The sequence below is a fragment of the Homo sapiens genome, chromosome 11, assembly GCF_000001405.40.
Source record: "Homo sapiens chromosome 11, GRCh38.p14 Primary Assembly".
Lineage (NCBI taxonomy): Eukaryota > Metazoa > Chordata > Mammalia > Primates > Hominidae > Homo > Homo sapiens.
The window spans coordinates 10,627,551-10,641,298 of NC_000011.10; the positions used below are offsets into that span (position 1 = coordinate 10,627,551).

Genomic DNA, 13,748 nt, shown 5'->3' on the forward strand with positions numbered 1-13,748 from the left:
TAGTCACTATAAGGCAGGGGAATCTGCTGTTTCCCCAGCCCTGACCCTCCACTCATACGTGTGCATGCACACACACTTGAAGGCTGCCCAGGAGCCAGCCTAGGCTTCTAGGAGACTGTGCCCCCCACACTCAAATCATCCAAAGGGAGCAAAGCTCAAACTCACAGGCTCGCCAGGGTGAGGTGAAGAGACGTCGGCCTCATCCCCCTTCTGCTGGAGAAGGTGAACAGGAGTCAGTCAGCAATGGGAAGAGACCGTGTTTCCTCTTGAAATATCCCCAAGGAGGCCCCCTAGCAGTGGTGTTCATGCCCTCCACCCAGCACCCTCATCTCCAGTGGGTCACGAAGGGCCTCCTGGTGTTCGGGGTAAGGGGAGAGACCCATTGGCATAGAAACAGCACAGCAGGTGGGGGGTCCTGTCACCTGTGGTGGTGCTCCAGGCAGAGGGGATGGCGGGCCACTGCACACATCCAAACCTGGAAGGGTCCAGACACTAGTGAGTGAGGCCCAGCAGCCCAGGCCCTCAGCTGTGCTTTCAGCCACATCTCCCTCCCCGGGCTATCCTCCCTTTGCAATCTCAGGCCTGGAAGATTTGCTGACTACCTCCCGTGTGCCAGGTTCTCAGGTGGGCCCTCACAGAATGTTCACAGAGACCACAGGAGGAAACTGAGGCACAGGGAAATCAAAGTCTCATGGCCAGGAAATGTCAGCACTGAGATTTGGGCCCAGGCTGCCTGGCCCCGACCTGAGCGTGCCCTGCCGCACTGATGAGGGCCGGTTGCCCTTCCTGGCACCCTCCCCCTTTCCTTGTTGGCTGGAGGGTGTGACTCTGGGTACAGCCTAATGAAAGGGAAGAAGTCAGACCCCAAAGAGGCCTTTCTGTATAAGCTCTTGAGGGCTTCTCTGAGCCTCCCTGAGCCAGAGAGGCTGTCCTAGTCCCCTTTCCCACCCAGCCTTCCTGACCCTGGGGTACACCTGCCTCCCGACACAAGCCCAAGATGCTAACAGAAAGTCTATCTGCCTCCTCTGGGTGGCCCAGCAAATGCCCCCCCTGGAGAGGGGTCTTGCTCTGGGTGTGAAGGGGCCATCAGAGTTCTTGAAGGGGAAGCCTGCAGGCTGGGAGGCATGCTGATCTGTCCAGGCTGAGCTGCCACCCAGAGCGAGAGGCAGGGCAGGAAGTCCCCGGGCAGCTGGGCCTCACCTGGCGGGGTGGGGACTGTAAGTGAGTTGCTCCGAGAGGATGTAGGAGAAGCGCTGGGGCTGAGGTTCGGGGAAACAGCTGTGAAGACAGACACAAATTGGCTGGCATTCATGAAGGTTTAGGACTTCAACCTGGCAAAGGCATCCTTTTAGGTATTCCCAGGCCCTGGGAACTGGGTCTGCCTTGCTGGGCTCAGGGGCTGATGCTGGACTGCAATATGATGCTCCTGTTACAGCCCAACCCCTCCCTGCTGCTGCTCAAGAGATGGGTGCCCTCAGGCCATTTGGGGGTTCGAGGATAGAGTCACACTTCTCAGCCTGCCTGGCCTGACCTCAAGGCACTGTCCAGAAACTGAGGCCTGGCGTTGGTTGGCAGGTACAGCTCCAGAGGCTGCTCCTTCTCGACTTCCCAGGGTGGCCCTGACTTCAAAAGCTCCCCTTGTCCTCCTAAGTACACTTACACACTTGCCCAACTTTTTGCTCAGGAAGAAAAGTGACTCTAGCATAGAGGAAGCAGGAGGATTTCTGGGCCCAGGAAAACCTTCCCTCTAACCCAGAAATTCCCCAAAGACCATCTCCTCTTCCCCAGAGGGCCTAGGATCCTTCCCAGCACCCACAGAGATCAAGGGAAGGGAGCCCAGGACAGAATCCTGACCTCTGCTGAGGAGAGCAGGTGAGTCCAAGGCGACCTCCTCGGAGGTGAGGCGCCCACTGCAGCTGGTGCCAGGCCCTTCCCTCCCGACCCTAGAGGGGCTCAGGGCAGCCACCTGTACATCCTGCCACCCTACCTGATGGGGAGTCTCCGGGGCTGCTCCTGGACTTCCTCCCACGGCGGGTCAGGAATCGCTCACTCACCAACTTGGCTTCTTCCAGCAGCGCCAGGTTTTTCTTCTTGTCCTCCTCTGAGATGCTGATGTCTGGCAGCTGGTCATTCACCAGGTCAATGATGTGCCCCGCGGGGTCTGCAGAAGGAGGATGAGCTGGGGTGAGAGCCACTGCATCCGTGGCCCCAGGCTGAGGTCATGCCATACCATGCCTCATCCCAGGGACTCTGCCCACAGCTGACCCAGCCAGCCAAACCTCAGCCCAGTGCCATCAAGAGGGTTGCATGGGGACAGACAGTGGCTTCCTCTGCAGGCCTGGCCCCTATGGCTTATGGCCTGTGGTCCTCCGTCACAAATGGTCCTGGAGCCATCTCAGGTTCCCAGAATTTTCCTAAACTCTGTCAGGAAGGGAAGGCCACCCAGGAGCCTTACCTCCGGCACCATCTGCGCCCCCAGTGCATTCTTGCTTCTGGCCTGTTTCTTTCACAAGCTAATGCGCTTAAGGTTTGTGAATAAAAGAAGGAGACCAAAGATCATTGGCCACGGCCACAACCCCGTGGCCACCTTCCCTCCAGTCACATTGTTCACCCCATTTTTCTCCAAAACTGCCCCTCTGGATGAGGTGGGTGAACGGCACCACCTCTCACCTGGCTGCTCAGGATCACAGGAGTCACTCCCCACTTCTCCCTCTTCCTCCCTCCCCCAACATCCAATCAGTTGATCAAGTCCTCCCTGCATTTACCTATAAACATCTCTGGAGCCTGTTCCTCATCTCCATTCTTGCTCATTAGCTCTTTTTTTTTTTTTTCTTTTTTTGAGACAGAGTCTCACTCTGTGGCCCAGGCTGGAGTGCAGTGGCACAATCTCGGCTCACTGCAACCTCTGCCTCCTGGGTTCAAGTGATTCTCCTGCCTCAGCCTCGCTCGTACTTGTTAGCTCTTTCCTGGACAATTATGTCTTCTACCTAAGAGGTCCCTGCCCTCAGGCGAGCTCCTCCATCCCATCCCCCACTGCCTATCAGAGTGGCTATCAGAGCCACATCTGGCCATGCCATTCTCCACCTCATCTCATGGGGATTTCTCATGCTCCTCAGTGTGGTATCCAAACCCTAAACTGGGCTCAGCCAGTCTTGCTGGCCCCCACATACTCCTCCCAAGTCCCTCCACTTCAGCTGTGTCTGCAGTGAACAGCTCCCATTTCACCTCCATCGGGTTCCATTCGTCTTTGGGCAGCAGATCCTTGGTTTTCACTTGGTAAAAACCTCTCTGATTCCCCATTAGCTAACCCCCCTCCCCTGTGCCAAGAGTGGGAATGTGGACTAGTCTTGGCCAATCAATGAACAGAATCCCCTTGGCCACAGGGATTGGCTCGGGGATGGCCATGTGAAGCCATTGAGGGGCAATCCTGGTGTGGAGTATATGGGGAAGAAGAACTCTCCACTGATGGGGCGTAAGCTTGGAGTTGCTGGTAGCTATTGGCTACCATGTGTTGAAGAGTCTGCCAAGAAGAAAGCTAACACACAAGAAAAAAGGTTCAAGAGATGGAATGGGACAATTGCTAATAACCCACTTTGAGCACCTGGATCCAGCACTACCTGAAATCACAAGCCCTGGCTTTTGTAAATTTTTTTTTGGTGTGAGGTAGTTTGAGTTGGGTTTCTATCATTTGAAAAAGTCCCAATTGGTACACATGGCAGAGTTTCAGTTGCCAGCAACATGCTCCAGGGAGGTTCCTGCTCTTTCAGTGTGTTTCCTATTCCCCCTGGAATGCCTTTCCTCCCTCGCCTATCTGTCCAGCTCTCTAAGGCACAACTCAAATGCCACCTCCTCTGGAATACCTTCCTAAAACTTCCTCTCCTCAGAGAGACTCGGTCCCCTTCTTGCCTTGGCTGGCCTAGCTCTTCTGTGCAGTCTCTTATCATACAGTGTCCCAATTATCTGTTCATTTCTCAGTCTCTTCATAGTCTATGAGCAGCATGAAGGCAGGGACCAACTCTATATGAGATCTATGTTCCAACAGCCCAGGGCAGATCGTGAGCCACCATCTGGGGATGAGCAGATGACCAGGGCAGCCGGCCTTACACTCAGGCACCTACTCCAACCTGGATGTGGGCCTCTTTAGCAGAGGCTGGAGGACTCTGCCCCCTAAACCCCAGAAATGAGTTTCACTCAGCTGTTCTTTCTTTCTTTGACTTCTGCATCTTCCTCTTCATGCCCTGGTCTTGTCTTTTGAGCAATGAAAACTGAATTAAATATGCTTCTCCTAGACCCAGACACGGAGGGGCTGATCTACCCTGTCCTGTTGGACTTATCGGGAGGGAGCGCCTTAAAGAGCAGGAGAGAGGAAGGAGTCAAGCCCAGCCACGCTGCCAGACCTGTCTTTCTACTCAACATGCCTTAGATTGCCCTGGTCCTTACCCACAGATGTCAGGGAGGCAGTGGACACCTTCAAGTGTCGGTGAGAAAGCCTCTTGTGGGGACTGTGAACTCTGAAAGACAGAACAGTCATCTTGTTCAGAAAATCAATCCACAACTTGAAAATAGGTGAAAAGATGCCTGTATATTCTTTTTCTTTTTCTTTCTTTCTTTCTTTGTTTCCTTCTTTCCTTCTTTCTTTCTTTTTTTTTTTTTTTGACTCAGTTTTACTCTGTCACCCAGGCTGGAGTGCAGTGGCGCAATCTCAGCTCACTGCAGCCTCTGCCTCCCAGGTTCAAGCAATTCTCCTGCCTCAGCCTCCCAAGTATCTGAGACTACAGGCATGTGCCACCACACCCAGCTAATTTTTGTATTTTTAGTGGAGATGGGGTTTCACCATGTCAGCCAGGCTGGTCTTGAACTCCTGACCTCAGGTGATCTGCCCGCCTTGGCCTCCCAAAGTGCTGGGATTACAGGTATGAGCCACTGTGCCCAGCCAGATGCCTGTATATTCTTTCAAAGTCATCCTAGAACATCATCTTACAAGCTTCTCGAGGGTTTCTCTGACTCTCAACTTGGGAACGTCTTAGAAATGCAAATTCTCAGGCCCCAACTCAGATCAGAAATTCTGGAGGTGGGCCCAGCCAGCTATGATTTTACAGCTCTCCAGGTGATTCTGACGCGTGCTAAAGTTTTCCAACCACTGCCCTAAGAGGATGTGACTTTGACTTACTATTTCCTACTCATTAGGTCCCAGACTCTGAGCTAACATCTAACTTGTAGAAGCCTCATAAAATGTAAATCATTGTTGTCTGACAAAGACGCAGATGATTTCTGTTTGGGAAAAAAGACAAAAATATGGTTTCATTGCCCTGTAGAACATTCACCTATTTTATATCTAACTTAGCAGTTTTATTCCAGCACTTTCCTCCCCACTGATGATATATGTATATCCATTGCTTGTATCCTCCTTTGAACCGGCTTTGTTATCCAGATGCTTCTTGTATTAATGAGGTAAGTAAATCTTTGACATATGCTCAGTATATTTATATGAGAATTATCTTTTTCCTTTTCTTTTTCTTTCTTTCTTTTTTTTTTTTTTTTTGAGACGGAGTCTCGCACTGTCGCCCAGGCTGGAGTGCAGTGGCGCGATCTGGGCTCACTGCAAGCTCCGCCTCCCGGGTTCACGCCATTCTCCTGCCTCAGCCTCCCGAGTAGCTGGGACTACAGGCGCCCGCCACCACACCCGGCTAATTTTTCTGTATTTGTAGTAGAGACGTGGTTTCACTGTGTTAGCCAGGATGGTCTCGATCTCCTGACCTCATGATTCACCCGCCTTGGCCTCCCAAAGTGCTAGGATTACAGGCATGAGCCACTGCGCCCGGCCGAGAATTATCTTTTTAACTTTTTGAAAATTAGACAGTCTCATTTCAGCGAGCCCAGTTCGTGGGCTAGTGCTCTGTGAAACCAAGGCGGAGACATTCCTCTACCTGTGAGCCCATGTCCCTGCCAAGAGATCATATTTCACACGTTTTGGCCAGGGGCAGGATTCTACATTCAAACACCTGCACCTTTCATGTTTGGCTGCAAATAGCTGGACAGTTATTATGGGAAACTCTCCTGCGGTGATTTATGCTTTTCTTAAAGGCTAGCCCTTTCCATGGGGGAACAAGTCCTTCTGGGGCCCCTGGGCATTAAATGTTTTAACCTCCACTAGCCCTGCTGGGGGAGGAGGCTGCAAATGGGCTGGAGCCGTCGCAGAGCCAAAAGGACCACATCCAGGAGAGGAAAAATCATTTTAGGAGGAAGATAATGGAAAAATTCCTATTTCTATCTTGTATTTTGAAAAACTGCTTGATTATAGTTTAGTCAATAAAATGATACAAGAAAAAAGAAAAGATTTATTTAAAAATATAGCTGTCTGATCCTCATGTTCTAGGAAATATTGTTTGTCACAATGCAAGGATCAGGCACCTGTACCTGTTGGCCAGGTTTTTGTCGGTTTCTCCTTCTGGTGAAGTGGCATCCCCAGTCAGGACAATCGTGGGAGTTGGACTGCAAGATACTCCTGCGGCAGGAGGACCCTGCCGGTTTAGAACAAAAACACAGAGTTAGGCTTGGGCTGGTGGGACTTCCAGGGACAGGAGCCAGAGCATTTATTCTCACATCATGATGCTCAGAGCCATCTTGATAAGGGGACAAATGCAGTTTACTCTTTATTCCCCCAGCTTTATTGAGGTATAGTTGACAAATAAACATTGTATATATTCAAGGCACACAATGCGATGTTTTCATTACCTTGATACAATGTTTTGATACAATGTGACATATTCACGGCATACAGTGTGATGTTTTGATGTGAAATGATTACCACAGTCAGGCTAACTAATATATCCACCAACTCACATAGTTACCTTTTTGTGTGGTGGACAATACTTAGCAAATTCCAAGTATACAATACATTATTAACTACAGTCACCGTGCTGTACGTTAGATCCCCAGAACGTATTCACCTCATAACCAAAATAGTAAGTTGAATTCTTTGACCAACATCTCCCCATTTCTCCCACCCCCAGTCACTGGCAACCACCATTCTACTCTCTGTTTCTGCAAGTTTGACCTTTTAAGATTCTACATATAAGTGAGATCATGCAGTATTGTCTTTCTGTGCCTGGCTTATTTCACTTAGCATAGTGTCCTGCAGGCTCACCCACATTGTTGCAAAAGGTGAGATTTCCTTCTTTTTTTAAGGATGAATAATATTCTTGTGTGTGTGTGTGTGTGTGTGTGTGTGTGTGTATACAGACACAATATTTTATTGTGTATATATTTTTCACATTTTTTAATTCATCCATTGACAGACATTTAGATTGTTTCCATACCTTGTCTATTGTGAATAGTGCACACATATAGGTTATTTGGATTACTCAGAAAACAAAAAAGGCAGTTTCTCCTTTATTCCCCAGCAGGCCCTCACCTGAGCTTAACACGGTCCACTATTCATGCACTAAGATTAGGGACACTACAAGCTATCCCTGGTTAGTTCTCACTAGCAATGCAGGAAAAGAATGGTACAGAGTCCTCAGATTGAGGCCAGCCTGGCTGGGGAAGAATGATGGCCTGGGGAAAAGGTAGTGGCACCCACACACCCCTGAGGTTCCACGACAGTCCTACCTTTGGGTAACTTTGACATTTCAGTGATCGTAATTTGTTAGAAGACTCTCCTGGGGTTTTCTCTTAGGTCCTTCCATCAACTTAAGAGGGTGCCTGTCATTTTCCTTCTCCTCCTTCCCACCCCCTTGACTGGCATGTGCTGCCACTGCTCCCTCTGTGAGCACCTGACTGCCTTTGCCAAAGGCCTGCCTCCTAGCGTCCCAGAGCATGTTGCTGCCACCTCCACTATTGGTGCTGCCTCCCGCAGCTTCAAAGCAGTGGGTGCCCACTGTCTCTATTGCCACTTTCCCTGGTGGGCCAAATCCTTCTAGAGCCCCTGCATATGAAATGTTTTCACCTCCACTAGCCCCACTGGCGGTGGGAGCTGCCAATGGGCTGGAGCCTCTGGCAGAGCCAGGCTGTGTTCTTGAGCCTTCAGTGTGCAGGTGTTGGTTCCCTGCAAGGTAGGGAGGAGGCCTGCTCTCCTTTTGACATTATGCCTTGTTGTGAAATGGGTCTCATACAGTGCTATCTGGACTTCTTACGTCCCACAATTTTTAGTGAACCCAGCTTTTCCCATTTTCATTTTCATCTCTTCCCTTCTTTGGCCCCAAGCATAAGGCCACATGAGCTGGAGAAGTCTCTGGGTGAGAGTCCAGCTGGGGAGCACCATGCTGCTTCTCTTGTGGAAAGGATGCTTTTATGTGGAAACCCAGAGCCAGATCCTTGAGGAGATGTTCATTGGGCTCTGTGTTCTTATCCGGGAGCGATTCAGTGCAGAAAGCTACAGTGGCTGAAGGAAGAGGAGGCACTCAGAATCTCCCGGGACATGGAAGGGAAGCTTGGGCAGGGACGTGGGCTGTGTAGAAGCAGAAGGAAGCAGCATTGCCTATTGGAAGGGTCAGACAAACCTGGGCTCAAATTTCAACTACTAGCTATGTGTCGTGGACAAGTTATTTAACCTCTCTATGATCCATGATTATAAAGTCTAACTCACAAGGTTAGTGTGAAGATTAAAAATAACATTGATAAGGTACCTATGCATGATTGACATTTTTATTTATTTAATTTATTTAGTTTCTTCAGTGCAGTGGCACAATCATAGCTCGTTGTAGCCTCTGCCTCCTGGGCTCAAGTGATTGCCCTGGTTCAGCCTCCTGAGTAGTTGGGACTACAGGTGTGCACCACCACGCCTGGCTGACTTAAAAATTTTTTTTTTAGAGACAGGGTCTTACTATGTTGGCCAGGCTGGTCTTGAACTTCCAGAATCAAGCGATCTTCCCACGTCTGCCTCTGAAGGTGCTGGGATTAAAGGTGTGAGCCACGATGCCAGGCCATGATTGATATTCTAAATGTGCTAAGCATCTAGCATATGATTAATGTTTTAAATAAATGTGTACATTACTTTAGATTTCTTTCTCTTTCAACAAACACTTTATGGTTATCCACCATGTGCCAAAAGCAACTTGAGATATGAAGAGAAGACCCTAAAGGGCTCGCAGTCAAGCAAGGGATACAGGGAAGTAACTCATAATAAATATAAGGAAACAAGGGATGGACCACATTCTGTGAAAGCTCAGAGGAAGGAAAAGAAAACTCTTTAGTGAGGGGAGTTAAAGAAGACTCTATAGAGGAGTGGACATTTGAGCTAGGTCTTGAAGGATGAATAGGAGCTTGCACGACAAAGATGTTAGAGGACAGGATTTGGCCAAAGGGAATCGCATTAGCAAAAGGCATTACTGGGAATCAGGGATTTGTCAGTGTAGCTGGTGCAGGTGCATGGACTATGACATGTGAGATAGGAGAGGTCAGGGCTGGGGGAATTGTGAAAGTACAATAAGAGATTGAGCCAGCTTCTGAAGGACCTCGAAGCTACTCTAATGAGTTTGGTCTTTATGGTTTTGGAGATGGGAAGCCCTGAAGGTTAGGCTTGAGAATAACTTAACTACCCAAAGGGAAATACAGAAATGTTGACAGCAGATCATCCATGCATCCCTCTATTCACACTGGTTGAGATGACAGAAGAGGCCCAGTTATTAGAACATCTATCATCCCCTATAGGAATTCTGAGGAGCTCCCTGGTAAATAGGAGCTGTGTCTCCATTTGGAAACCTAGAGCTGGCCAAGAGGGAGTGACAAGAAGTCAGCACGTGCTTGTGGCTGAAACCAAGACTGGCTGACCTGTCCTCATGATCCCAGAGCTCCAGTCCCTCTGAGGACACAGATACCCATCCTTCTGTCAAGGACTCCCCCTAGAAGAGACACCCAGGGAGTTTTCTGAAAAGCAACAACTCATTCTCTGGATAGTATGCCTTGATGGGCTGGTGATAAGCTTGTCCTCCTGTGGCTTTATCCCTCCGTTCCTATAATGGCACAATGGCCAAAGGCCTGCTCTCTCTCACAGGAAGATTATGCAAGTAAAAAGAAATGACGAATGTGTATGCACTTTGATAAGTGTCATATGGTCTACAAGTACCCTTGAGTCATGATTATTATTAAAATGAATGATGGCTCTATTCAAGGTGAGCCAGTTTTTCCCATCTTTTGTTCAGTGGGCTCCCCTGGTGGGAGGCCAGCAAGCAGCAGAGGCTGGGGTTTCCAGGGGACCAGAAGAGAAGTGGAACAATGATCTGGGGCCCCGAGGACATGCAGTGGAACAGTATTCACAAGGGCTGGGGAGGTTAAGAAGGGGAAGCAGTGTGTCAAATGGCAGGTAGCCAGATAGAGGGGGCAGCAGGCAGGGCCAGGGGCAGGTGCCAAGCTAAATGGGAGAGCCAGGGAAGAAGAAGGAATAGGGAGTTTTCTACTGTGTGGGTTTTCTGGTGAGTAGGAAGAGCTGAAGTCTTTCCAGAGGAATCTCTTCACATCATTAAAAAGGAGTAGCATTAGCAAAAGGCATTACTGGGAATCAGGGATTTGTCAGTGTTTCTGGCAGGTGTGATCTCTTGGATGTCAATTAAGCAATCAGCATCCTCTGATGCATATTCTGAGCTCAGAGGTGCAAATTAGAGACCCATGTGCCTGTTTGCTAGTAGTGTTTACAAGTTTTTAAATTAGTTATCAACATTCCATAATTGTAAGAATTCACATAAAGGTCTGGATAGCCTGCTTTTCCTTAAACTGAAAGATCAAACAATCTTAGGCCCATATTTCTGCAGAGTAACCAGGTTTGAGCTATCCTAAATTGGCTTTCTTCAGTGATTTGTGCTCCCTGGCCCCAAATGCATCTGAGTTACTGCCCTGTGTCATGTAGTTTTCATCCTGGCCTGGTTTTCCAGAGCACAGGAGGTTTGTGCTTAAAATCTCTCCCACCCACATCATCTGGGCAGCCTCATGCCTATCACCATGGGAACGCCAATGGAAACTCTGACTGTGCTTATAGCATGCGCGGGCTTCTTTCCCTGGATTTTATTCTGACTGTGAAAATTTGAGCTCTGAAAGTTGCCTTTTTCATGTCTGTCATATTTAGAGAATTTCTTTCTTGTATGAGTCCTCTGATGAACAAGAAGAAATGCATTTTGTCTAAAATATCATTTTTTACATGCATTCTATCATATGGTTTCCACCACCCCTTGTGGTGGGGCTTTACAAATTCCTGGCATGCATTGATGAGGATAAGCTGTGTCTATTTAAAGGGGCAGGATGGGCCAAACATGAGCTAATTCCATGTTGTATTCTGAAAAAATAATTGTGGTGGTATTAGGAGAGTTATAGCATATATCCATTTCTAACAGTTTCATATATTCAGGCTGCTAAATAAGTAAAATACATATTTTATTTTATTTTTATGTATTGTTTTGAGATGGAGGCTCACTCTGTCTCCCAGGCTGGAGTGCAGTGATATGATCTTGGCTCACTGCAACCTCCGCCTCCCGGTCAAGCAATTCTCATGCCTCAGCCTCCCGAGTAGCTGGGACTACAGGCATGCACCACCATGCCCAGCTAATTTTTGTATTTTTAGTAGAGATGGGGTTTCACCACATTGGTCAGGCTGGTCTCCAACTCCTGGCCTAAAGTAATCTGCCTGCCTTGGCCTCCCAAAGTGCTGGGATTACAGGCGTGAGCCACCATGCCTGGCCTTTGTTTATTTTTAATCTTATTGACACTATCTACTTCTCAAAGCAACTTGAAGTAACCAACAATAAAATATAAGATATAAAAACATGAGACTATATAAATGGGGGAATGATGGATGATTTGACAAACATAAATATCCCTAGCAGACAAGGAGAACCTCATGCTCCTAACAGTCTATGGTTGGGAGTTGTGGTTAAACTATTTGCCCTGAAACCTAATGAAGCCGTGATCCACGTGGCGCAGACTCTGAGAAGGCTCGCCTTACGGAACTGTTCAACAGAAAGAAAACCAGCATAGAAGGAACTTCATTCTTTACTCTCACCTCTCAAAGAACATGAAAGGGGAACAAATCTTCACTCCCATCCTGACCTCTCCTCTGCCCTTTTCTCTTTCCTTAACGATTCTCACGCCCCCTCTCTGATGACTCTTCCCCTGCTTGCCTCCCTGCCCAGATCCTCTGTCTACCTTCTTTCTCTTTTTCTCCTGCTCCAGCCTTTACTCCCCCAGCTCCATCCAGTTATTTTTTGTGCAGATTGTCTTCATTTGTTTGTATGATTGACTCACAAACATTTACTGAAGAGTCTTACAGAGCAAAGACCTTCTTGGAGAAGAGAGGGGCACTGGGCTGGCAATGATCAGATTCTGTTTGGCGTCCAAGAAAGGGATGTGGTCTGTGAACACTCCCACATTATTGGACCTTATTCTGTCCAATCATCCGGCAAACATTTATTGAATGCCTATTGTGGCCAGGGTCTATGCTAAGGTCTGGGAAGACAAAGGTGAACTGAGCGGGCCTCTGCAATGCTTCCCATTCATTAGCATGAAGGAATGGGGAGAGAAGGGGAAGTAACCTCCACTGCTATTACTAATAGTGCCCTCGGTGTTGATACCTACCAGGTAAATGGGTACAAGGCACGGGAGTGAGCTGCCTTCTGATAGGAGCTTTCTCTGCTTGCTGGCTAATGGTTACCTGAAGCAAAGCTCTCCTGACTGTAGGCATCTCACTGGGGAGGAGGACCATGGCAGAGGTGCCCATACAAAAAGGCAGAAACAAGCCATGGGTGGCAAGTGCCAAGCAGGTAACCGCAGACACTCACAATTCCAAGTGGCTTACAAAGCAGGAAGCATAAAGCGATTAGGAGGAAATCCTCTAATCCCTTGATGGAACATCCTGGAAGGTTCTTCACACTTGCCTTCTAATGTGTGCAAAATACACAACTCATAAAATCATAGTGTTCTTTCCCTCATCAGCTGACAGAATCGTTGAGCAAGCTCTGGGCAACTTCTCCTTTTCTGCAAAACTGTTTTGGTGGGAACATTCAGGTCTTGTGGGGGCTGTTTTTCACTCTATCAGGGACTGGGGAGACAGTAATCCAGGAGAGAGTGTGTGGGAAGATTCTAGGGGCCCTCTGGGGTGAATTCTGCCAGATTTTCATGCAGTGCACACACGCATCCCTGCTCCCATTCTGAGCTGTCAAACACAAGGCAGGCCTTCAAGAAAGCTTGGGAGAGCAGTAAGACCAAATAGCGTTGGCCAGACAACCTACTGGCTTAGGGGCTTCAGGGCCTCAGGCTCAGAAGCCACACTACCTTATGGTATACTTTTTAGCTGGATAACCTTGGGCAAGTTACCTTGCCTCTCTGTGCCTCAGTTACCTAATCTATAATGGAACTATCTCACAGGGTAGTTATAAGAATTAAACAAGTTGATATAGAAATAGGATTTCTGGATAAAGCACAGGATGCCCCAGTTATATTTGAATTTCAAATGTACAACAGATAATTTTTAGTATGTGTGTCTCAAATATTCCATGGACATAACTGTATTCTCTCTCTCTCTCTCGACTGAATCTTGCTATGTGCCCAGGCTGGTCTCAAATTTCTGGGCTCAGGTGATCCTCTCACCTGAGTAGCTGGGACTGCAGGTGTGAGCCACCATGTACAGCATATAATCATATTTTCATTTTCCAAATCTGGCAGCCCTAGATGGCAAGCCTGTGGAAGTGCACCTAGCACTGAGCAAATGCTCACTAAGCATTAGATGTTATGTTCCCTTATTATTCCCTTCGGGATTGAATTAA

The 13,748-nt window shown here is 48.3% G+C and overlaps 1 protein-coding gene across 6 annotated transcripts in view; it reads right to left on the reverse strand.

Annotated features, from left to right (window-relative positions):
• The window catches only part of IRAG1 (inositol 1,4,5-triphosphate receptor associated 1), a 120,661-nt gene that overhangs the window by 54,456 nt on the left and 52,457 nt on the right, over positions 1-13,748 (reverse strand). For 3 of the 6 annotated variants that reach the window (NM_001206880.2, NM_130385.4, NM_001100163.3), the window contains exons 3-8: positions 6,418-6,521; positions 4,441-4,511; positions 1,988-2,161; positions 1,201-1,278; positions 423-475; positions 166-210 (exon numbers count right to left, since the gene is read on the reverse strand). In NM_001206880.2, the coding sequence (NP_001193809.1) occupies positions 166-210; positions 423-475; positions 1,201-1,278; positions 1,988-2,161; positions 4,441-4,511; positions 6,418-6,521 (525 nt within the window). Of the gene's footprint in view, positions 1-165; positions 214-422; positions 476-1,200; positions 1,279-1,987; positions 2,162-4,440; positions 4,512-6,417; positions 6,522-13,748 lie in introns of all 6 variants that reach the window. The other 3 variants (NM_001098579.3, NM_001206881.2, NM_001100167.3) reach the window with 3 other exon arrangements.